The sequence below is a fragment of the Homo sapiens genome, chromosome 1 (assembly GCF_000001405.40).
Source record: "Homo sapiens chromosome 1, GRCh38.p14 Primary Assembly".
NCBI classification, from domain to species: Eukaryota; Metazoa; Chordata; class Mammalia; order Primates; family Hominidae; genus Homo; species Homo sapiens.
The window spans coordinates 44421883-44448165 of record NC_000001.11 but is presented as its reverse complement, the minus strand read 5'-3'; the positions used below and the strand labels follow the sequence as shown (position 1 = coordinate 44448165).

General features: G+C 42.5%; 1 protein-coding gene across 15 annotated transcripts in view, besides 1 other annotated feature; it reads right to left on the bottom strand.

Annotated features, from left to right (window-relative positions):
• RNF220 (ring finger protein 220) overlaps positions 1-26283 on the bottom strand; it is a 246942-nt gene that overhangs the window by 203559 nt on the left and 17100 nt on the right. The window contains exon 1 of one of the 15 annotated variants that reach the window (NM_001319957.2): positions 24027-24165. The exons of the other annotated variants lie outside the window; for them this stretch is intronic. The gene's annotated coding sequence lies outside the window, so the exon portion shown is untranslated. Of the gene's footprint in view, positions 1-24026; positions 24166-26283 lie in introns of those variants that run through there. 15 annotated transcript variants of the gene reach the window in all.
• Positions 11312-11813: an enhancer, noted in NCBI's record as "NANOG hESC enhancer chr1:44902025-44902526 (GRCh37/hg19 assembly coordinates)". NCBI's record gives its function as "activates a minimal SCP1, AML or CMV promoter by ChIP-STARR-seq in naive H9 embryonic stem cells {active_cell/tissue: H9 hESC(naive)}" and the evidence as "EXISTENCE:reporter gene assay evidence [ECO:0000049][PMID:30033119]".

The window sequence follows — 26283 nt, the reverse complement described above, 5'->3', positions numbered from 1 at the left end:
CACCACACCCAGCTAATTTTTGTATTTTTAGTAGAGACAGAGTTTTGCCATGTTGGCCAGGCTGGTCTCAAACTCCTGACCTCAAGTGACCCGTCCACCTTGGCCTCCCAAAGTGCTGGGATTACAGGCGTGACACTGCCCGGCCAATGTCAGTTTATTAATATACTAAAGGGAATGTGACTGTCAGGAAAATCAGATGTTTGCATCCACCATCATCTCCCCGTAGCTAAGCGACGCGCAAAGCTGTTACCAGGAGTGTACAGTAAGCCCAGAAGGCAGGGACTTAGAAATAGGATTAGAACACTGAACAGCACAGGCAGCATGAAGCAGGGGCAGAGCATCAGCTTTGGAACCAGAGAGGCCTGGACACACATAGAATTATTCACGTCCCAGCAGAGTGGCAGTGGGCAAGTCACTCACCTTCTCTAAACTCCGGTTTTTAAAGGGTGAATAATACTTCACTGGCTTATGGTGAGGGTTAAATGAGATAATGCATAAAATGCTAAACCAGTCCCTGTCATGTGATACATATTCATCTCCATACCACACATTCATCCATGGCGGCTACATATTCATCTCCATACCAGGGACACACCTGTTAGTGGTTCAAGTCAGCTTTTACAACATCCTTTGCTCTGAACAAAACTAGGGCAGGCAAGACTGGAAGCAAAAGACCATTTAGAAGGGTGCTAAATAATCCAGAACATAGATGCTAGTGACTTAAAATAGGGCTGTAGCGGGGAGAACAGAGATATGTATATAGATTTGAAAGATATTTAGGGGGTAGGTACTATCTTGGCTGTTTTACGTAATTATTTATTGTCCTGACAGCAATTTGTAAAGTAGGTGCCTATTTTTTAGATGAAAGTCAGAGATATTAAGCAACTAGCTCAGGATCACAGGGCAATGACTGAACTGCTATATGAATCACAGCTGGTGTGACTCCAAAGCCTCTCTTCTTCCTACAAACAAAATATACTGCTGTACATATCGTTCTCAACAAGATGTCAATTGTCAGGAATATAGTAATTTCTTAACACTAATAATTAAAGTATTGAACTTTAGAAAAATGATTTGCTTTTTTAGGAAATAAAATGTGGAGCAGATCAAGGTTATCACTATAATAATTAATTTCACTATTGCTCATTTCCATTACAATACATCTTCTTAAGGGAGAGATAGAAAGAAGTGGAGGTAGAGCTCATGGACCAGAAATTATGCATCGCTGCAGGTGTGTCTATGAAACAGTGTTATCTGCGTAACTTCACCCATTATGCCTTATTGAAAACAGTTTAAGAATGGTTACTCCAGCTGGGCATGGTGGCTCACGCCTGTAATCCCAGCACTTTGGGAGGCCGAGGTGGGCAGATCACGAGGTCAGGAGTTTGAGATCAGCCTGGCCAGCATGGTGAAACCCCGTCTCTACTAAAAATACAAAAATTAGCTGGGCGTGGTGGCATGTGCCTGTAATCCCAGCTACTTGGGAGGCTGAGGCAGGAGAATTGCTTGAACCCGGAGGTGGAGGTTGCAGTGAGCCGAGATCACGCCACTGCACTCCAGCCTGGGTGACAGAGCAAGACTCCATCTCAAAAAAAAAAAAAAAAAGGTTACTCCAAGGAACGGCCCGGTCCCTCTTTTTGAGCAAAGACAGTCTTAGCTGAAACATCTATAAGATTTCACTTTAACAGTGACAAGCTCTTCAGACTGCAGACATAGGTGCTAAGCAAATCATACTCTCTCTAGCAGAATTTTTATTTTCCCAGTCACGTTCACACACAAATTACAGTTCACTGCAAAACTTAATTTTTTAGATGAAAGACAATACCATATAACAGATTTGAGCTTCTTTTCTATATGAACTGACAAGTTAGGCTTTCCCCACTTTTACCCCTTACTTTTTAACCGAAGCATAAAACATTACGTTTGTTCTTATAAAATTTTACTTTGAACTAGTTTGAGCCTAAGATTTCATCTTCATGAGATGGATGTAAACCAGCTTTTTTTTCTCTGCAAAGTTAATACTCATGTTTTTATGTTCCTACTCCAAATACTGCTTAAAGCAATTGTGATTTTCAGAAGTTTTTCATAAGTTATTAATTCACTAGACAAATGTTACCACATGCCACCCAAGTACCAGGCTCCTCAAGGAATTTACAGTCTAATAAGGAAAACAGATTGGCACCCAATCATACCCAATACCAGTAATAACATTAATAACAATTACTACTATTTATCATATCCTGCTCTGTGCCAGACACTGTGCTAGGCGCAAGAACAAAAAGATGATGAAGCAATTCCTCTACCTTCAAGGGGCTTCCCATGGCTTGAAAGGACTCATGTATAATATGATGGAAGAGGCAGGCATATTAACCAATAAATGCAATAAACAGGTGCCTTGCTAGAAATAAAGACAGTGTGTTTCGTAGAATACAAGATGGAGGGATTGAGGCGGGATAAGAAGGAGAGTTGGTAAAGGTTTTATAGAGGAGCGGACCTTTGAGTTGAGTTTCAGAAGATGTGCAGGTATTCTCCCAATTAAGAGTAAAGGGAAGAAAAAGGGTAACCATGGCAAATGCAAGTGTAAAACAATTTTATGTGTTTAAGGAGCAACAAGCATTGGTAGAGATGGGGGTTACAGTAAAGAAGGGGGAGGGAGTTGAGAGGATCTAGCAAGAGCCGGAGTAAGAAATTAGAGAGTAGATGATCAAGGATCTCACAGCCCATGTTGTCCTTCTCTTAACTTCAAGGGCAATGGAGAGTCATTGAAGGGTTTTAGGGACGGGAATTACAACAACAGGGTTTCTCTTAGAACTCTGGTAGCTATGAAGACGATGGAATCAAAGTGTTTGAGACTGGAGATACAGAGATCAGTTAGAATATATATTTATAGGAGATATTAATGAGTTGTAATAGTTGAACAGAAGAAATACTAAGCCTACATGAAGAAATTAGGAAAGAGACAACCCAACAGAAAAATGAACAAAACATTGAACAGGCACTTCACCAAAGAGAACATTTAAATGGCCAATAAACATATGAAAAGGTGCTCTAGCTTATCAGTAACCACGGGAATGTAGACAAAAACTAAATTTATATATCCAGAAAGATGATTAAATATTAAAAGGTCTGACAATATCAAGTACTAGTGGGAACATGAAACAACAAAAATTCTTATATACTGCTAAAAATAGAACAAATTGGTAGAACCTCTTGGGAATACAGTTTGACATTAGCTAGTAAAGTTGAAGAAACACTTTCCCCAGGAGGCAGCAATTCTACTCTTGGGTCTCTACCCTCAGGAAACTCAGGCCCTGTACACCAGGATACACATAAAAATGTTTATAGCAGCATTTTTCATAAGAACCAAAGAATTATAAATAACCCAAATGTATATCACCATCAGAATGGATATAGAAATCAAGGTAGGCCGGGCATGGTGGCCCACTCCTGTAATCCCAGCACTTTGGGAGGCTGAGGCAGGCAAATTGCTTGAGTCCAGGAGTTTGAGACCAGCCTGACCAACATGGCGAAATCCTGTCTCTACAAAAAATACAAAAATTAGCTTGGCGTGGTGGTGCGTGGCTGTAGTCCCAGCTACTCAGGAGGCTGAGGACAAAGGATCGCTTGAGCCTGGGAGATGGAGGTTGCAGTGAGCTGAGACTGCACCACCACACTCCAGTTGAGCAACAGAGTGAGACCCCCATTTCAAAAAAAAGAAAGAAAGAAAAGAAAGGAAATTAGGGCATTACACAGCAATAAAAATGAAAGAACTCTAACTACATGCAATAATATGGATGAATCTCACAAACTTAGTGAAGAACAGAAAGAGCAAAACACAAACAGTACAAAAAAAAACATGATCTCTCTCATTTGAACGTCCCAAAATACAAAACTATATTGTTTGGGGATGTTTACATGTGTGATAAAATTATTTTAAAAAGCAAAAAAGTAATCATCATAAAAGTCAAGATAGTGATTACCTAAGTAAGAGAGGATGGGTTATAATCAAGGAGAAACATACAAGGGGCTTCTCACATGCTGGAAATGTTCTATTTCTTTCTTTCTTTCTTTTTTTGAGACGGAGTCTTGCTCTGTTGCCCAGGCTGGAGTGCAGTGGCACCATCTTGGCTCACTGCAACCTCCACCTCCCGGGTTCAAGCAATTCTCCTGCCTCAGCCTCCTCTGTAGCTGGGATTACAGGCATGCGCCAACATGTTCGGCTAATTTTTGTATTTTTAGTAGAGACGGGGTTTCACCATGTTGGACAGGCTGGTCTCGAACTCCTGACCTCAGGCGATCCGCCTGCCTCGGCCTCCCAAAGTGCTGGGATTACAGGTGTGAGCCACCGTGCCTGGCTAATGCTCTATTTCTTGAGCTGGATGTGGTTTCATGAGTGTTCATCATATAATTTTTTAACTGTACACATGTCTTGTGCACCTTTCTGTATGTATGCAACATTTCAAAATATAAAAGAAAAAAATGTACTTGGGGAAAAAACCAAAATACTCATTAACAGCTACATACTGCAAGATATGCTTATAAATGAAAAGCTAAGAGGAGAATGGTGAGAAAAGAGCCTGGAACGGGAGGCTGAAGACTTGTGGGCTTTTTTTGTGATAGGAATGAGGGGTGTTAGGTAGGCAGGTGACATGAACAAGTCTGCATGTTAGCAAGACCTTTATCAGTAGGGTATACGGAATGAACTGGAAGACAGCAGATGCTAATGCCAGAGCATGTTAGGAGCCTACTGCAACAGTGTGCTAAGACAGCAGGAGAGTATGAACTATGGGAAAAGAAGTAGGGACAGATGGAGGTATTTATTAAGCAGAATTGTTAGGCCATGAAAATTGATTAGTTATAAGGGGTGAGGTAATGGAGGGATCCTGTTTCTAATTTGAATAACATTAGCATGATAAATCAAAATAGGCAATACAAAGGGAGATACAGGTTTAGTGGGAGAAGATGGTAAATCTGGTTTTGGTCCTGCTGAGTATTCAGTGCCCACACGACATCCAAGAATAAAAGTCTAGAAGGCAGCCAGATACACATGAGTGAAGCTCAGCAGCAGAGATATTTGTTCTGGATCCTAATGATTCAATATCTAGGTCTCAAAATTGTGAAATGGTTCAATGTGGTTTGGGCCACTACCAGTTATTTGAGAAGTCTTATTTCCACTAGGCAAGAGGGTGGAGTAAGAGGGCCCTTGGGTACAAGAGTGGAAAAGCAAACAGGGAGGGTTCCTAACTTTTCAGCCAAAGCAATTGGGTGAACAACAGTGCTATCATCTGAGATGGGGAGACATAAAGAAGCAAGATTATTTCTGGCTTTGTTTATTTTTAAAGAGGGGTAGGCCAGGCATGGTGGCTCATGCCTGTAATCCCAACACTTGGGGAGGCCTAGATGGGCAGATCACTCAAGCCCAGGAGTTCAAGACCAACCTGGGCAACATGGTAAAATCCTGTCTCTACTAAAAATACAAAAAAATTAGCTGAGCATGGTAGTGCACGCCGGTAACTCCAGCTACTCAGGAGGCTGAGCTGGGAGGATTGCTTGAACCTGGGAAGTCAAAGCTGCAGTGAGGCGAGACCACATCATTGCACTCCAGCCTCGGCAACAGGAGGGAGACCCTGTCTCAAAAAAAAAAAAAAAAAGAGTGTGAGTGGTGCGGCAGCGGGGCAAAGAATCAAGAGCTCTCCTTTGGACTCTTTTTAAGATAATATGCAGGCTGGGCACGGTGGCTCACACCTGTAATCTTAACACTTTAGGAGGCTGAGGAGAGTGGATTGCTTGAGCCCAAGAGTTGGAGACCAGCCTGGGAAACATGGCGAAATCCCATCTCTACCAAAAATACAAAAATTAACTAGGCGTGGTGGCGCACACCTGAAGTCCCAGCTACTCATGAAGCTGAGGTGGGAGGATCACCTAAGCCTAGGGAGTTTGAGGAAGGGAGGCCGAGGCTGCAGTGAGCCATGAGCATGCCATGAACTCCAGCTTAGGTGGCAGAGCAAGATCCTGTGTCAAAAAAGAAAAAAAAAGAAATGTCTTTTCAACATTCAACTGGGGACATCAGGTAGGCAACTGTGTGCACCAGTGTGGAGCTTAGAGGACAAGGTCAAGGTTAAGAGTTATAATTTTGGGTTTCATTAGTATAAAGACAGTATTTAAGGGTTTCCTGACCTAATAATTCTAGGCTGGGTGCTACTCCTGTGAACTATACCATATAACTTATTCCTCTTAAAATGTGAACCTCAATGTAACGTATTTGGCTGTTTCCATATCTGTGTTCCCCATAAGAACTGTAAGATGCTTGAAGGTAGAAGTCAGGTCTCCTTTACATTGGATTCTTATGACCTAATGGCTCCTAGCACATAGTAGGTACTCAATAAATGTGTGGAATGAATGATGAAATGCTGCTGACTCCTCTTATCATGTCTTGAGTATTCTCTGCACTACATTTAACTGAGATCACTAACCTTCTTCATACACTAAGTTTCCAGCTGCTCCTCAATTCTTTCCTCCCCAGTTCTCCACAAATGTTTCTTACTTTCAAGGCAGAGGCCACTAGTATCTCCCTCCTCATCCATTTAAAATGTTCTCTTCTTTCAGAATATTGCTCATCTCCAAGGCTCATCCTCCTCCCTATCATGTTGACTGCGTCTTTTACTTCTTCCTTAGATTTACACCCTTTATTATTCCTGTTCTGTATGATCATGCATTTTATCTTCCCACATAGCCATTCACTCATGCCAGCTTAGAAAATGTGAAGGTACCATATTTACCCTAGAAAATACTAGATCTTGAATTTAGGGAGACTGACTAATCCAGAGTTCACATTCAGATGGTAATATTCTCCTTAACATCCTGCCAGGCATGACTTTCCTGGCTCAGAAAAATGCCTGGAGCTGTGACAGCAAATTAAAAGCCTCAGTCCCTATGGCTGCTTAGGGATGGGGAGGCACGGCCTGACACACTATTCTCTCAACTGCTGGACAAGATGGGATTGCACTAGGGCAAGGATTTCCCCCCTTTAACTGGGGATCAGCATTCTTTCTTTCCAATGATAATATCTTGGAAGTGGCCATCACAACAGGTTCTAGGTGAGGGGATGAGCCAAGTCATATATTCTGATGTCCAGGGGTCCCCCTTGACAGGCTTCACATGGGACTCCGCAGGCCAGCGGCTCTCCTTGGCAATGCAGTCCTGATCTGAGGGTTAGCACCTGGGAAGAGCTCATCCTTGAATCTGGCTAATGTCAAGGCCTCTGGAGCACCTGGAGGAGTTTTTCTTTGAGACTCAGGGAACAGGAGGCACAGCTCCAAAGAAAGCTCTGCTCTAAGCTCTTTTACTTCCATGCTGGGTCCCAAGCTCACCCATGATTAATACTGCCTCAACAGAAAAAGCATCAAGTTGAGAAGGTGTCTGTTCTTAGTCAGAATTCTTTCCATCCTGATCTAAGAGATCACTGGGTAGAGCTTTCTGAAGTCTGCTGGAGTGACAAAAAGGGAAGAGCACAGATTTTTGGCATCAGACAGGTCTGTCTTTGAATCCCAGCTCTGCCACTAACTAGCTGTATATTGGTCAAATGTCTTAAATTCTCTGAGTCTCAGCTGCACTATATAAAATGGAGACAATGTCTACCTGCAGGGCTGTTAAACAGTAAATTTTAAATTTATTTCCTCTTTACTTTCTCTGTAATAGCAACTGGCTAGGAACATTAGCCCCAATGCCAGGGTCAGCTTTGACTAAGTCCCTCCATTCTTTGCCATGTCCTCTTCATCTTTTGCCACTCTCCACCCTTGCACACTGCATACCTGGCTAGAGTGAACCCTTTTCAGTTCCCTGAATGCATCAAGCTCTTTCTGGACAGAGCTGTCCAACAGAACCCTCTGCAATGATGAAAAGGTTCAGTACCTGCTCTGTCCAATATAGTAGCCACTAGTCACATGTGGGTAGTCAGCCTTTGAGCTGTAGCTGATGGGACTGATGAAATAAAAATTTAATTTTATTTAATTTTAATTAATTTAGATGTAAATATACCCACATGGCCAGTGGCTACCATGACTTATAGTTCTAGACTGTAAGTCTTTGCATTTGCTACTTACCTGCGTGAAATGTATTTCCCCACTCTTCACCTAGCTAACTTCTACTCAGTCACAAAACCTTAACTTGAGCATCTGTTCCTCCAGGATGCATATCCTGTGTCCCTGGATCAGTTAGGTTTCCCTTTTGTTCCCGTCTCTAGCATCTACACTTCTCTTATCTCACTCATCACATTTTATTTCAACGACTGGTCTGTCTGTATTTTCCACTAGCTGTAAACCCTATGGCCCTCCTCTGTCAGGTCTTGGTACCTCTCATCTTCCCTTTGAGTGGACATCCACAGGAACTTAGGATCTAGATTTTTTTTCCAAAACTGGGGACTATCTTTGAGATAACTACTGCACATTTGAATAGCTTTAGGGATTCATTAGAAGTGGCCTTACAGCTTTCTAAGGATAAGCCAAAAGGGAAAAAAAAATGATAAAATGCCTTGTTAAAAAGTAAAAACTTAAGGCTATTCTGGACACACTGCCTATGGGGTAGCCCTGCTCCACAAGGCATAAAACTAAATAAAATAAAATAAAAATAAATAAAAACAAATAACAACAACAACAAAAAGCTCCACCACCCTAAAGTACCAAGACAAATGATAAACTGAAAAAAAATGCAACAAATATTATAGATTAAAAAAGATTAATATCCTTCCTATTAAAAAGAGCTCTTAAAATCAATTAGAAAAAGATGGAAACCCTGTAAAGGACATGGATAAGCAATTCAAAAAAGAAGATAAACTAATCCCAATAAGTGTTTTAAAAAATGTTTAGCTTCACTAGTAACTAAAGAAATACAGATTAAATAAATAAGAAACCATTTTGTCTACTAAATTGCCAAAGATTAAAAATATTTATCATAATGTGTTGATAACAGCATAAAGAAAAAGGTAATCCGGCAAGCGGCATAAAGATTTAAATATGCCTACCTTTTTATCTAACATTTCTACTTTCGAGAATATATCCTAAGAAAATGATCAGACGCTTGACAAAAGTAAATTCACAAAGATGTTCTCTGTAATGTTGTTTCTAATATTGAAAAGCTGGAAACATCCTAATTAGACAACCAGAGATTGGTTAAATAAAATGTAATGCATCCCTGCAATGGAATACTAAGCTTTTAAGAGTAGTGATGGTGATGGAGATTTATGTTGACATACAGTAGTATCTGTAATAAATGAAAAAGTGAAAAAGAAAGTAACAAATCAGCATTTGGTATGACCCTACTTATATCAAAACACACTGATCTACTTATTATCTACTCATTAAAAGGAAGCTGGAATGATACATACCAAAATACTAATGATTTTTGTCTATGTGTTTTATTCTCTTTCTCCTCTAAAAATCATGGCAGATAGCCAGCGGGAGGTTGTCCATAGGATTCTCTGGTATAGGGTTTTTGTCTCCTTAAATGGGTCACAGGCCACCTAAGAAACATCCAGTACTAGGTTCCCTGGCTGATGTAGCTGTAAGCTCAATGGGAGCCTAGACCTTACCTGTATTATTCATTACTGTATCCGGAGGGCCTAAAATTGCCTGGCACCTAGTAGGTATTCAATAAGTACTCGAATTAATGAATCGTACCAGAGTACCAATTTTACTTAATGATAGGCATATTAAAACATTATTTTGACAAAGTAAAACTGAAGTACAGACCGGACACAGTGGCTTACTCCTATAATCCCAGCACTTTGGGAGGTCAAGGAAGGAAGATCGCTTGAGCCCAGGAGTTTGAGACTAGCCTGGGCAACATTGTGAGACTCCATCTCTACAAAAAAATTTTTTTAATTAGTCAGGTGTAAGGGTGTGTGCCTGTAGTCCCAGCTACTTGGGAGGCTGAAGTGTGAGGATCACTTGAGCCCAGGAGTCTGAGGCTGCAGTGAGCCACAATCACAACACTGCACTCCAGCCTGGGTGACTGAGCAAAATGCTGTCTCAAAAACAAAAAAACAAACTAAAGTACAAAATTTACAAAAATTTAAGCTAAAAACAAGACTTCTAATAGTTGATCCTTTGTATACACGATTGCAATGCTGGAGGGCAGAAGTTAGTTTTCTTCTATATGTGTATTTTCCCAGAAGAGTTTGAGAAACAGTAAGTTAGTGTCTCTGTTTAAGGCCTTTCCCAACCCCTCATGAGGCCAGGTATTACAATCTTTAATTTACAGATGAGAAAATGAAGGTTCAGTGGTTGCAAGATCACACAGTTACACAGTGGATTGAATCAGGATTCAAATCCAGGCCTGTCTGTCTCCAGAACTCATCTGTGGTTTTGAGAGGTTGAAAGCAAGACAATGAAAAGGACATTGCAGATCATGACAGCTACTGTCTGCACTTCCTAACAAGTCACCATCCCTTACCCCTGAGCTCCCAGGTCTAAGAGGTGCTTTTTCTTAACCCTTAGAGAATCCAGAGGACGATTTGTCACCAGGGTTATTAGCATTTCTCCCTGGATATCGACAGCTTGTCTTTCCTCCCTCCAACCAGTGACTGATTTCTTCAAATGCTCGCCAAATACAGCCCAAGTCACCATGGTAAATGTATTGACAGACTCATATTAACAGCTACTGAGCATTTACAGGGTTGTAAGTTATGCGGGGTGGGGTGGGGGAAGATAAGAAAAATCACAGGGAAATAAAACAAGTTCAATCAGCAGTGACAATTATTTATTTAAAAGCTGCTGGTTGGAACAGTTTTTAGAATATATTTTAATTGCTAATTATGGTTTCTAACAGGAGAGTGGCCTCAATCAGAATTGCTCCTCCTTAAAGCTAATCATTAATATTTTAGCGGCTTGGCTCAGAAACTGTGCTCATGCAGTTGGCCCACCCACAGCTGTGTCTATGCAATCGACTTTAGCTTTAGCTGCTCACTTGGAAACAGAAAGTCTACCGCATTGGTTGGTTTGCTATGCCACTCCCAAAGCGTGCTATTCCATTTGCCATAAGGCAGTAGTAGTCTTCTAAATACTTACTTCTCTGAAGATTGAGGCTCGTTCAATAAGCAAAATTGTGCTCTAAGCCACCCAAACAACTGTCAGTTTTTCAAAGGAATGACCTATCTTTTCTAAGTTAATTTACACCTTTTACTGGGGGACATAAGTGTTGCCTTAGGCAAGATAGAGAATCCTGAAGAGTTTGTTTTCAGTTTCTAATTCCCTGGGCACTTCTGTGTGAACTTCATAACAAATAAGGTCAGCTTCCAGGCCCAGGGAGGTGCCAGGGGTAAACAGACGAGAGGGCGCTCTGGGGTCCCAAGAGTGTGAGTATGTTTTGGCATTGCCCCATCTCCCAAGTTTCCAACTTCACATGCTTCTTAAGGAGAATCTAATCCTCAGGAGAGAATTTAATCTGTTCATTTGCACGCATCTCATCAGCACCCTGCTTTGTTGTGGACTGTTTGATGTCCTAAGGAAAAGACTTCGAAGTCTTTTAAAGCCTTTTTGATGTGAACCAGAAAATCATGTTTTGTCAAGAGTGCACTCAACTTGAACCTCAAAAGGTTCAGGACTCAGAAACCACATGGTTCAAGTGGGATTTAAACTGGGCAAAATCACTTCCTTGTCTTTCTCTGCAAGTCCCTCCCCTGGCCTTTGTGCTAGCAGTTGCTGTACACTGTTGGGCCTTTTCCTCTTTCTTTTTATTCTCTCTTTTGCTCACACATGTGTGTGTGTGAGCACACACACGATCTCGACAAGAAAACCTAGGGAAAAAGAAAAATATATTACCCCCCCTAAAACTGGCTGTCTTTCCACTAAGGGTGAAAGCCATCTCCAGCTCCACTCTGTCCTCCCAGATTCAGAATGGTCATTGCTGGGCCCCCCAGAGGCCCAGGCTGCTTTAGGTGAGGGTCAAATGATTTACAGAGCCAAACAACTATGATTACATCCTTAATCGAGGCATTTAACTAGATACAAGACAAGAGCTCCCTGCGCTCCAGGGAGCTTTTGCAGAGAAAAGTGGAAACTTGCTTCAGGGACTTTGTGTGTCAAGGAGGCATATACATTAGGACGATTCTGTTAAACTTGGAAATGGAAGGAGAGGGATTTGACTCCTCCTAAAATCAGAGGGAAGAACTGAGCTGAGAGAAAAGATTCTAACCCTAACCTATCCAAAGGTTTCTTCCATTTTTTTTTTCCTCTTTTTTCTTTTTTTTGATATGGAGTCTCAGTCTGTCACCCAAGACGGAGTGCAACGGCACGATCTTGGCTCACTACAACCTCTGGTTCAAGTGATTCTCCTGCCTCAGCCTCCCGAGTAGCTGGGATTAAAGGCATATGCCACCATGCCCGGATAATTTTTATATTTTTAGTAGAGACGAGGTTTCACCATATTGGTCAGGCTGGTCTCAAACTCCTGACCTCAAGTAATCCGCCCACCTCGGCCTCCCAAAGTGCTGGGATTACAGGCGTGAGCCACCATGCCTGGCCTTTTCTTCCTCTTTAGACTTGAAAATCCAATTATTTGAAGGCCAGCACAAGTTTAGATTCAGGAGACAGAGTTTCAACTGTGAAAAGGTCCCAAGTGTTCCTCTTTATCCCAAGGAACGCTGGTGCCTTGTTCCCCATGGCTGTAATCACACTGAAGTTTCACTGACCACAGTCTCAAGGTATCCTCATGTCCTGCTAACTATAATAGTCACTATTTATTGAGTGGCTTACCATAAATCAGGCACCATGTTATAAATACATTATCTCATTTAATTTGTTCATTAAAACAAAACAGTGAGTCATCTTATTCCCATTGTGCAGACATGGAAGCCCCAAGCTCTGGGAGTTTAAATTACTTGCCCCAAAGCAACATAGCTAAGAAGTATCAGAAATGCAATTAAAGCCCAATTTGTTGCTCTCCAAAGTCAATGTTCTTGGACTAGCACCATGTTGCTCAGCATGTCGCACTCCGTTGCAGATTTTTTGGTGTTTTTTTAGGCACTTCACGTTTTATAAATTTATTTATTTGGCATTTATTGAGTACCTACTATGGGAAAAGTACTGTGGATATTTCAAAAACTTTAAGACATTATTCCTTCCTCGTCTTTTTTTTTTTTTTAAGAGACAGGATCTTGCTGTGTTGCCCAAGCTAGTGTGCAATGGTGCAATCATAGCTCATTGCAGCCTTGAACTACTAGGCTCAAGCGATCCTCCCCACTCAGCCTCCTGAGTAGCTGGGACTATAGGTGTGTGCTACCACATCCGGCTAATTTTTAATTTTTTTTTTTTTTTAGAAATGGAGTGTTGCTATGTTGCCCAGGTGGTTTCAAACTACTGTGCAATGGCCTTTTCACAAGTCTTCTGTTACTAACACTTTCCCTACATCAATCTGTTAGTCACGCAACAGCCAAAGTAATCTTTTTTTTTTTTTTTAAGAGAGTCTCGCTCTGTCGCCCAGGCTGGAGTGCAGTTGTGTGATCTCTGCTCACTGCAAGCTCTGCCTCCCAGGTTCATGCCATTCTCTTGCCTCAGCCTCCCGAGTAGCTAGGACTACAGGCGCCCACCACCATGCCTGGCTAATTTTTTGTTGTTGTTGTATTTTTAGTAGAGACGTGGTTTCACCGTGTTAGCCAGGATGGTCTCGATCTCCTGACCTCGTGATCCGCCCGCCTCGGCCTCCCAAAGTGCTGGGATTACAGGGGTGAGCCACCGCGCCCAGCCCAAAGTAATCTTTTGAAGTGATAAATCACAACATGGTGATTTATGTTTAAAACACTCTGTGGCTTCCTGATGAACCCAAAATAAAATCCAACTCTCCGTGGCCTAAAAGATTTACAGAGGTCTGGCTCCTCTCCATCTCATCTCCTACCATATTCTCCCAAATTCATTCTGTCCCAGCCCTCAGGCCTTCTCTCTCCTCCTCAAACATTCCAGGACCCCCTATTCCCAAACCCTTACATAGTTGTGCCTGGCTCATCATTTCATATTTCAATTCAAACATCATTCCAAGGGCATTCCAATTCAAATATGTTCCAAGGAACATATTTGACACAGCAGGTCATTTTTTAAATGACAAATAACTAATCATGTAATAATCAGTCATAATACTTTTCTTGATTCTTTAATTTTAATATAAGCAGTTAATGATTTTAAAAATATGTTTTATTTTATTTTATTTTATTTTTTAAGACAGAGTCTCGCTCTGTCACCCAGGCTGGAGAATAGTGGCACAACCTCGGCTCACTGCAATCTCTGCCTCCCAGGCTCAAGCAATACTTCTGCCTCAGCCTCCAGAGTAGCTGGGACTACAGACATGCACCACTGCACCAGCTAATGTTTGTATTTTTAGTAGAGATGGGGTTTCACCATGCTGGCCAGGTTGATCTTGAACTCCTGGCCTCAGGAGGCCTCAGCCTCCCAAAGTGGTGGGATTACAGGCATGAGCCACCACACCTGGCCATTATGTTTTATTTTTAAAGATGTTCAAATTTAGTAAACTATTTACTGGGCAAACTAAAATTTGCACTTACCAAACAAAAATATTACACCCTGCAGTTCACAGTTTATTTCACTGTTTTAAAACTTAAACACATATAAGAACTCCAAGTGGTCACAAAGAACTGCAGAATTGGAAAAAACTCCAATTTTCATGTCTTCATCTTTACAGTTCATGTGCTGTCATTGTTTATTTTGAATATACTGCATGAATGCAGGAAGGAATATGCTGTGTCACCGGAGTTGGAGACACAAACTGTTTCCTGTGGAAGCTCAACTGATTCTGAACTGTTACGTACTTTTACCCAAATCAAGCTGAATTTGCCAATGTCAGGGGCCCACAGTACAACTGGAAGTTCTCCAAATTCTCCCTTATAGATGACAATGTTCATTAAAGGACAAATAATTTAAAAATGCTAATTTGGCCAGGCATGGTGGCTCACACCTGTAATCCCAGCACTTTGGGAGGCTGAAGCAGGTGGATTACTTGAGGTCAAGAGTTCGAGACCAGCCTGGCCAACATGGTGAAACTCCATCTCTACAAAAAATACAAAAATTAGCCAGGTGTAGTGACGCACGCCTGTAGTCCCAGCTACTTGTGAGGCTGAGGCAGGAGAATCACTTGAACCCAGAAGGCGGAGGTTGTAGTGAGCCGAGATCGCATCACTGCACTCCTGGGTACAGTGCCTGGGCAACAGAGAGAGACTCAAAATTGAAACTGAGCAACAGAGCAAGACTCAAAAAAAAAAAAAGAAAAGCCAATTTGAAACTTACATACATACCAAAACTCAAGAGTAACCACAGCATTTTTTTCAAACTTATACCAACAAAATATTTCTGTGGGGAGAAATATTTTCCAAGTGACATTGTTTAAAATTGCCAGCACATGATGATATTAAAAAGCAGACCAGAGCGTTTTGTGGTGGTGCACACCTGTCGTTCCAGCTACTGGGGAGGCTAATGCACGAAGATCACTTGAGCCCAGGGGTTTGAGGTTGTAGTGTACTATAATCACACCTGTGAATAGCCACTGCACTCCAGCCTGGGCAACATAGCAAGACCCTGCTTCTAAACAGACAAACAGGCCGGGCATGGTGGCTCACGTTTGTAATCCCAGCACTTTGGGAGGCCAAGGCAGGAGGATCACTTGAGATCAGGAATTCGAAACAGGCTGACCAACATGGTGAAACCCTGTCTCTACTAAAAATACAAAAATTAACTGGGCATGGTGGCGGGCACCTGTAATCCCTGCTACTCAGGAGGCTGAGACACAAGAATCACTTGAACCTGGGGGGTGGAGGTTGCAGTGAGCCGAGATCGCGCCATTGCACTCCAGCCTGGGCAACAGAGCAAGAATCCATCTCAAAAAAATAAATAAAACAAACAAAAGCAGACCAACTTTTAGTTGACTGTTGTTTTAAAATGCCTCTACAGAGTAGCAGGATCCTGTTCCCCTCCCCAATGCATACTTTATCACAATAAAAAAAAAATTCAAAGTGCTTTAACATGGGGAAACACAGGGTATTATGACAGCAAAAACATGGTTGAAGAAGTGGAAGAACAATAGGAGTATAATGTCGCAGAAGCCACGGTAAGGGGAATTCCAAGAAGGATGAAGTAGTTGGTTGCAGCCAATATTACAGAGGATCCCTCTTTTCAAGCTGGGTGCCAGGGCCAACTGGGAGCAGGACCCAGAGATCTCCCTTTCTACTACATGAGAAGGTAAAACCCAGGTGCCTTCCTCTGGCTGAGATGTGAATTAATTCAAAGGGAAAATGCCTTATATTTGGCCTTAGCCATGCCTTACTATCAGCAGCAGGATCAATGAGCACATATCATATTGAGCCAATGGCTCTGTGCTCTCCAGACTCTGATCCTGCAACAAACAGAGCCGATGGCCACCACCAGGCCTGCTGGTGCATGAGGAGGGAAGAGACTCCACTCAGAAGATGGCCAGGGATGTAGTCTTCTTGCCCACTCCTATGTGGCTCTAGCGCCAACTTAAGTGGAGAAAAAGTTTCATAGATATAGCCACAAACAGAGCTGGTTAAATGGAATTCCATTTAGCACTCACATCTGCTGTTTACCCCATCTTGCTCACTTGAAGAAAGCAGCAAGCATTTGACCACTTCTTTTTTTTTTTTTTTTTTTTGAGATGAAGTCGATGAAGTCTTGCTCTGTCGCCCAGGCTGGAGTGCAGTGGCATGATCTCGGCTCACTGCAATCTCTCTGCCTCCCAAGTTTAAGCAATTCTCTGCCTCAGCCTCCCGAGTAGCTTGGATTACAGGCGCAGGCCACTACACCTGGCTACCTTTTTGTATTTTTAGAAGAGACAGGGTTTCACCATCTTGGTTAGGCTGGGAACTCCTGACCTTGTGATCCACCCACCTCGGCCTCCCAAACTGCTGGGATTACAGGCATGAGCCACCTCGCCCGGCCGTCTTATTTCATTTTTAAACTACCTTCACTATATAGCTCCTAGACCAGTCTGTGCTTTTTGGACGGTAAAACTGAAATAACCATCAGTTAACCTTTTTTACAAACTAACTCAGAAGAAAAAACAAATTCAGAAAAGAAAACTAATTTTGTCAACGCACACACACAAATCAGACACTTTCCCAGCAATTGTGACTGTAATCCCATCCACTTGACCATTTGGAAGAAATAGAACCAAGTAGTAATTACAGAACCAGAGGAATCATTCAGTTTTATCAATTCATCTCTCCAAGATTCAATCATAAATGCTAGGTTATAAGCCTGTCCCATAATACAGTCTTCTGAATCATCTTTTAAAAATAAACTTTTGGTGGCTGGGCGTGGTGGCTCACGCCTGTAATCCCAGCACTTTGGGAGGCCAAGGTGGGCGGATCACGACATCAGGAGTTCAAGACCAGCCTGGCCAAGATGGTGAAACCCTGTCTCTACTAAAAATACAAAAAAATTAGCCAGGTGTGGTGGCAGGCGCCTATAATCCCAGCTACTCAGGAGGCTGAGGCAGAGAACTGCTTGAACCCAGGAGGCGGAGGTTGCAGTGAGCCGAGATCATGCCACTGCACCCCAGCCTGGGAGACAGAGCAAGACTCTGCCTCAGAAAATAAAAAATAAAAATAAATAAAAATAAACTTTTATTTTGGAATAGTTTTTAGATTTATGGAAAAATTGCAAAGATAGTAGAAGAGGGTTTCCATATACTCTTCATCCAGTTGTCACTATTATTAATATATTAGTAATATGGTAGATTTATCAAAACTAATGAACCAATATTGATACATTATTAACTATATTTAGATTTCCTTAGTTTTTTCCTAATATCCTTTTCCTGTTCCAGCATCTCCAAATTAACTTTTTAAAATCATAAACTAAATTTTTTAATTATAGAAATAATACATCACATGTTAACTATTCAAATACCGCAGAAGAGCATACAAGAAAAAGTCTTACTCGCTTCTTCCTACCTAGTCATACTTCCCAGGGGAAACTAGCATTAACAGTTTCATATGTATCTCTCTGACATTTTATATGCATATATAAAGATAGACATGAATGTATCTTTTTTTCTATGAGGTTTTTTTTTTTTTCTCTCTGTATCTTGTTTTACATATAAGCACTTACGGCTCTAACTCATTTTTTTAACCACTATGTAGTATTCTATAACATAGATATATCATTATTTATTTTACCAATTTCTTATCAATGTACATTTAGATTGTTTGTTTTTCACATTACAAACAACATTATAAAGAACATACATCTTTAAGTACTTAACCCAATATATGCAGGATAAATTCTTAAGTTGAATCCCATCAAAGGATATTTGTATTTAAATTTTTCATAGACAGACATTGTTGAAAGGCCCTCCAAAGAGACTCTGCTGCTGCCTTATAGGCCTACCAACCACACGTCCCCACCCTGTTTCCCCACTCCTTCATCAACAACTGTAGGCCATCAAACAAATTACTAACAATTCCTTGAAATGCTTCACATTTGCCATCTTCCCACCTCCATCTTCAAGTTTTCCCTCCTTCTTTTCAGCTCTCTGGCTACTTTTGGTTTTCTTCCCACCTTCCCTGTGAAGGTTGTCCTGTACTTTTCTTTTTCTACACTTACACTCTTGACTCCCCTTCTCACTTCTCTAATATCATTCTTCGTGCTCACAAATGTCCCTTACGATTTCCTCTGCAGCTCAGCATGATTAAATAAAGAAGAGACACTTCCTCTGCTCTCCCAGCCTGCTGGCCCTCCTGAACCAAGAGAGAATGTTAATAGGGACACCTGAAAATCCTTCATCTGGGTCAGAATATTAGAAGGAATATATTTAACTTGGTGTAATGCTAGGAGAAAACATCTGGAAGAATTTGCATTGTTTCTTTTGTTAAAATCTTATCTGTTATTTTTTTTCTACATTCCATACCTGGATAGGATTCCTCTCTTTAAAACAATTGCTCAAAATTGTTATTCATTACTCCCCCCAGCTTTTTTTTTAAGCTAGTGTTGGAGTGGAGGCAAAAGTAGAGGTGGAAGGAAAGAAAAAAAAAATCCACAAGTGGCAGACTGAAGAGTAGGAATGAAAGTGCAGGGAGGGAAGAGGTGAGGAGGCAAAAGACAGTTTTGGGGAAAATGTCAACCTCTTAAGTCCTCTAAGAAGAGTTCTTTACTTAATTTCATCACCACTTCCTTCATTCAAAAGCTCTAAAAACAGAATGGGGCAGGAGTGGGTTGGAGGGTGGGGCACAGTGGAAGGGGGAGTGAAAGTATCCAATTCCTCCAACTGCAACTTTCCCCGACCCCAACTTCTTATCCAGCAAAGCTCTATCCACCACCAAGAATCAGCTTAATAGAATAAACCACTTAGGGCTAAGACGCAGAGGAAGTCAAAGACCCCACAATCTCCTTGCCTATTAAGCCTCTTAGAAGTTAGAATGCTGCTAAAGAAAAGTGATATTATGGCCGAGCTACTTAGAAAGAACACAAGGATGCGAAGTCGGAAAGAGGGAGGCCAGTTTGGGGGTTTGTGAGCATCCATCGTTAACTAAAGATGATGGGGCGGGGTGGGATAGTGGAGTGGGAGCGAAAGCAGCCAGCTGTGAGAACGGCGCTTGGAAGTCATCAAGTTGAGATTTAGGAGAAGAGTATTTGTAGAATGTACAAATGTGATGAGCTCTAAATAGAGCAAAAGCAATTTTTTCCCCTTAAAGGGGAAAACACAGTCTTAAGCATTATGTAAGTTATTAGAAAATTGGAAAAATAAAGCAGCCTGCAATGGTTCCTTCCCAGTTCAAATTTCCCAGTGATTCTAGGCATTCTGTCACCTCCTCATCCTCTCCTCAAAATAGCTGGTGAACAGTAAATGGTCCACAGACTTGCTATCTGAGTTGGCTGACCAGGCAGAGGCATAGAACAGGATTCGTCAAGCCCTTTACTAAACCCAGAAAAAATTCCTTCTGGCTTACTGTCCTTCCTCGGGTAGGAGTTTAGTGTAGAATTCTAGTCATTTCCACTCTGTGCCTTTTCGGGTATTTTAAAAAGGTGGTCATTGGGTGGGTGCTAAACTCATCCCTGCTCCAGCCCCCATATAACTGAAGCCAAGAAGGAAAAACAACATTATAGGTACCAACTCCTGAATATCAATTGGAAGATTTTTCAGTCGTAGGAAGACTTGTCATAAACTGCACAGACTTATAAGAGTTCAGGGCTTGCTGGAGTCACTGTCCCCATAATGCAATTAGGAGTAGAGGTAAGAGTTGGAGGAGCCTGGTTTAAGAGACCTCAAATCTGTGCCCAACCCCTTATCATATTAATTATAGCTAACATTTATTGAAGGCATACTTTGTGCGAGGCACTGTTCCTAGGACTTTATTTGTATTTTCTATTAACTCATTTAATCCTTATAACACCACTAAGAGATTGATACTAGTGTTCATCCCACTTTATCCTGAGGAAATGGAGGCACAGAAAGAGTAGGTGCATCTGTCTCGTCTCACAGATTTAGCTCTTCTTAAACTACTATGTCTGTAAAGCACATTGGGCGTTAGCAGATACTAAATCATCTTCTCCCATCCCACCAAAGGGTATGTTTGACAAACTTTTTTTCTTAGATCATAACTAGTAAGTTCCAGGCAACGCACTGGGTACTAGGAACAGAGATCTTAGAATAAGACACAGTTCCCATCTCAAGGAACTCACAGTGCAGGGAGGGTGAAAAGGGCTTGTGAGTGGGCCAAAATAAATTGTGCCTAAGGGCTGCCACACTGCAAAAGGCTCCTATCAATTTTTCGAGTATGGAGACAGCCTGACATACATATATGAAGTGCTCAGAACAGTGTCTGGCACACAGTGAACAAATACAAGTATTATTCTTGTTACCTCGTGAATCTGACCCATAGGTCTCCCTCTCCTGGAGTGTCCTTCCTTCTCATTGACTCTGGAGTCAGACTGCCTGGATCTGAACCTCTTCTCTCACACCTGCTTGTGTGACAATGGGCATATTGCTTAAACACTGTGCATCAGTTTCTTCATCTGTACAATGGAGATAACACCTATCTCGTAGGGATTTTATGAGGATTAAATCAATTATTACCTGTAAAGCACTCAGAATAGTGCCTGACATATAGAAAGTGCTTGAAGTGTCAGCTATTATTATTAGGAGTGATACTATGTTCTTCTCTTTGCTTGCAGTCATTTCACTTGCAATAAAAAGACTGAATTTAAATGCATCTGGCTTGGTTAGTTTAAGGTGGATAGGAAGTCTCTGGGACTAAATGGGAGGAGAACAGGACCCCTGGGAACTTGGAGGAATAACCCTGGAACTTGTTAATTAAGATCTTGTTAATGAATCTGCTTGTTACTGGTCTATTAAATAATCACACAATGAAGTTTACCGCACAAGTAAAGTCTTTTTCTTTCTTTCTTTCTTTTTTTTTTTTTTTGAGACAGAGTCTTGCTGTGTCACCCAGGCTGGAGTGCAGTGGCACAATCTTGGCTCACTGCAACCTCTGTCTCTCGAGTTCAAGCAATTCTCCTGCCTTAGCCTCCCAGGTAGCTGGGATTACAGGTGTGTGCCACCATGCCTGACTAATTTTTGTATTTTTAGTAGAGATGGGGTTTTGCCATGTTGTCCAGGCTGGTCTCGAACTCCTGACCTTAGGTGATCCTCCTGCGTCAGCCTCCCAAAGTGCTGGGATTACAGGCGTGAGCCACCACACCTGGCCTAGTAAAGCCTTTTTCAAATTCTTGCTCTTTCCAATCCTCCTGGCCCAGCTTTAACTTCTAAAGATCTTGCCTAAGGGGCAGGCCCTTCCAAATCTGACAGGGACCTCTTCATCTTGTCATACTGGCCAATAAAGCATGGCTATTCTTGCAGCCTAGGAAAGATCTCTAGGGCAGAAAGCCCTCTTCGACTTGATTCTGCCTATCATTCCTCAGGCCAAAGCACTGTGCCTCTGAGCCAAAACATCTCCCTCCACAAAATAGGAATAGAGTCACTGGCCCTGGAAACAGAAAAATAAAGATGCTCCGAGCTTTGCTGAGAAGAAAGGCAAAGGGTAAACTTCTTTCAGTGGGGATTTAGCCAATAAAATTTCAGCTGAGATGTCTGTATAGAAAACAGCCTGCCAACTTACATTCACAAAAAGTCTACAAGAGTTGGGTAACTTTTGCCCCAAAACACCTAGAAAAATAGTGCTGCGGTCGGTCTCAGGGAACACAGACTGTCTTCTGTAGCTCAGCTTCAAGGAGGGAATGGCATGTCAGAGGGCTCCCTCTAGGTTGAACACTCAGGCATTTCATAAACTATTTTAGCCCCCAAAGACCATTTTGCTCTTGAGACAGACGTAGATAGACATCTTGCATGTACCTATGTGTATGTGAGGGTATGGCATTTATACGGTTACTTTTAGATTACAAAACACATCTGGATTATCTATTTACTCAGCAACCCTGTAGGGTAGGGCAGGGATTATCTACCATCTCCCATTTTATATATGAGGAGCTGGGGCTCAGAGAAACAGAGACTTACCCAGCATCACACGGCTAGTAAATGACAGGCCCAGAGCTTCTGACTGTGCTGTTGCCCTATTGCTGAACCGTTCCTCTATTTCTAGTCACCACCTCCCACTTGTAAACATGCCAGGAGGTGCCCAGTGTTGTGGTGGATCCTGTGTGGCCCTTCAGACTATGTCCAAGTGAGTAGAGCCAGCTGGCAACTCTGCAAACTCAGCAGAAGAAACAGTGATCCTGGGTTCATTTACTTTAACAACAAGTATTTACCAAGCTAGGCACTACGTGAGGGGACACGCTAGATGGAGTCACATAGGGAGACAGACATGGGCCCATGGGAGAGGCACAATTAAGCAAATAATTACAATTTAATGTGATGAGTGTTTTTAAAGGGGGAATTATGTTGGGGGAAAAATACCATCCCCAACTCCATAAGCAAAGTTGACGAGAGCATCCCCTACTGTGCAGGTACCCAAAACCCCCTGAACCTCTCAGAGCAAGCCCCTAGTCACGGCTCACTGAACCTTCTACCCGGTGGCAGCTGCCCCCTGGAAGGGTTAAAGCTTAAAGCAGAAAGCCAATCTGCAGGTGTTGGTGACTAATTCTGACACTGACAGATTCCTCTAACCCTCCAACTTTTATTTCTTTACAAATGAGCATTTGAATGAAAGCTCAAGGGTTGCGGAAGAGGACAGAGGAGGCTGGCAAAGCATACACACCAAACCCTCTCCAGCCCCTTCTCGGCAGAGCAACAGCAGTGAGAAGATAAGCGGGCTGGAGCCCAAGGGGCACCGCAGCGCACACCGGCCTCCCTCACATCTGGCCAAGCACCTCCAGACCCTCCGCTGGGCCACCTCATCATAATAATATTGCACCAAGAAGGGGAGGTCTGGGCACATACAGTCACTTGATCAGCAATAAGACAGGCAGAGGGAGGCAATCCGAGGAGGAGCAGTGGCAGAGGGGGAGCCGGGACAGGTGGACAGATCCTCCCCAAGACAGGAGACTGGATGAGGAAGGTACTGTTTGTGAGCAGATGCTGGGTCTTCACCCTTCCCCTGCCTGCCCAGACTCCTCAGTGGGTTTCCATCCTCTCCTTTCCTCCCCACTAGTCCTCACTCCCCTTTCTGCAAGGCCAAACACCTCGGTGAAACCTTCCCCCGAGACTTTCACCCTAGATGAGTGATTCCTAAACCTTAAGGAAAACAAGAATCACCTAGGATGGCTACTTGCTGAATACACAGTTTTTAGGCTGTATTCCTTGTGATTCTGAAGATGAAGTCTAGTGTGGGCCCTGGGAATCTGCATTATAAATAACATTCTTCACCCCACCCCCATCCCTGTCCCCATCCTCCACTATCACCAGCACAAGTGATCTGAAACAGGCAGTCCTTAGATCACATTCTGGGAAAGCCAGCCTCAGGGATGACTCTCTCTCTCTCTTGAAATCCTAGTGCCCTTACTGTCTGTTATTTTACATTATCATTTCTTTTTCATATATACAGTTTAGCTACTCACCTTAACCATAAGGCTGTCAAGAAGAGGAAGTATCATCTCCTACTTCTTTGATTCCCTTGCAAACAGCACCGAGCACAACGCTCTACACACAGGAGCTCAGGAAATGTTCGTGGATGTAGAGCGATGATGAAGATAAGAGGCCAGGGAAGGAAAACCACAGCGGGGATGGTGGAGTACAGAGGCCCCGCCTGGAAGGAACTGTTTTTAGCATGCCGACGTGTGCCAGGCTAGAACAACGGTTTGCTTCGCTTTCTTTTTTTCCTTCTTCAATACTCTTGGCACTACATGCCTAACCTCCCTCGCGAAAGTCAAGCCTGAGCAATGCACCTCCCAGAGGAAACTTTGCCAAGAAACTCTGCCAAGAATCCCGGGTGCTATGTGGCTTAGTTTAACGGCCAAGCGAGTACTCTAGGCCCTGAGACCTGTCACGTTTCCGGGTAGGGCAAAGGATAGAGCTAAGCCTGAACTTTAGTAAAAAGATGAGGACCCTTAATCTAACTCACTAAACATCAGCAGGGCAATGGCCCTCCTTCATTCAGCAAATATTTCCAGAGTATCTACTCTGTGCCAAGCATGGTTCTGGGTGCTCATGGGTCCTCTGGTGGTTAAGATAGCATATGTTATCAGAAAGCATTTTCTAGTGACATATCTTTAGAAAGTTACTTTAAAAGCAGGACCCTAGATGATGATGAGCCTCAGAGCCACATAAGCACCAAATGGATATTCTCAAGAATGCCTGGTTATAGGATGAAGTGCTATAGACATCCAAGGTCAGGTCTCAGGCCCTGCCAGGGAACAATTCTATTCTCACTTCACTGTGAGCAATCCTTGGCAATTCTGGAGTTCTTTCTTCCACTCTCAGATACTACAGTTTGTCCAAAAAAGCCAACTGCTACCCCTAGCTCCTTTGAATAAATAACTCCTTCTTGATTTTCAGATATCAGCGTAAAGGTCACTTGCTCCAGAAAGCTATCCCTGACTCTTAGACAAGATTAGATGCTCCAACTTCTAAGTCTCATGGCATGTTATATTTCCCCTATGACAGCACTTTTCGCAGCATCCTACAATTGCTAACTAAACTTTGAAGTCCAGTAAGGCAGGGGCTATAATCTATCTTGCACATCAGTCTATTCCCAGTACCTCGCATGGTGCCTGGAACAATGTAGGTATGCAGTAAATACAGCTGAATGATTAAACCAATGAGTGCATCACATTTGACCAATGATATGGCAACTGAGTCATGTCTCACATACTCTGCGACAGTTTTATCCACTGCCACCAACAAACAGCTAAGATGAAGCAGTACTATTCCTTCTGTGGGACCAGTATCTTATGGAGGTAAAACTGGGGCTCACAGCAGCACCCCAGTACAGACTCCAGGAGGCACTTCCCACGATCAAAGATGGATTCAATACTACAGAGTCAATATAATGTCCTCAAGAGCCTGAGAGCTATTCTGGCCATGAGCAACAGACTTGAGTTTCTTACAAGTCACTCAACTTCTCATAGGCTCAGCTTTCTCATGAAGAGGACAGTGGGTACTTCAGCAGCAGGCACTCACTTTAAATAAAGAAGAAATGACAATAAAAATCTCCCCATACCATGATGGTAAGTTAGAAGGAGAAGGCAGCATTTGCAATGAAGCATCTCTGTGGTTAGGAAAGGGTTAAACCCATGTCTGGGTTCTTTTCCCCGTAAATCAGCCTTGACTGCTGCTCAGTCTGAATGAAGCCCCACCAGGTTGGCCTGTCAGGAAGGAAGCCCATGCGTCCAGACTTTTGTTGTTCTAAGGATTTTTTTTTTTAATTTTACTGCTCAGGAAGGAAGCTGAAGCCTAGGCCCTAACTGCAGTCCTGCTGATTCCTCAGCCGAGCATGCGCCACTGCCCTTACCACTCCAGCGACCTCTCAGACTCCGCTCCTTTTCTAGAATTCCTTCTGAACCATGATTTTGGCATTTGGACCTAAATCCCAGACTTTCTCCTTCAAGAACCAAAAATTAAGAACATTCAGCATTTCCCTTCCTACCTAGTACACACCTTTGTGACTATATGTGGGAAGGGCTGAGGACAGAGAGGGAGGAGAATTGGGTGCTGCATGACCTTCAGTGACACTTTACTTCCAAAGGTGAGCTGAACCCTTCCTTTAAATGGAGCCATGAAGGAGTTGATAGAGACTGAGGTATCAGATGATTGGCTGCCAACAGCTATTTCTGCTACAAACATGTGTGGGCATGAGGCTCTTCAAATATGAGCTAC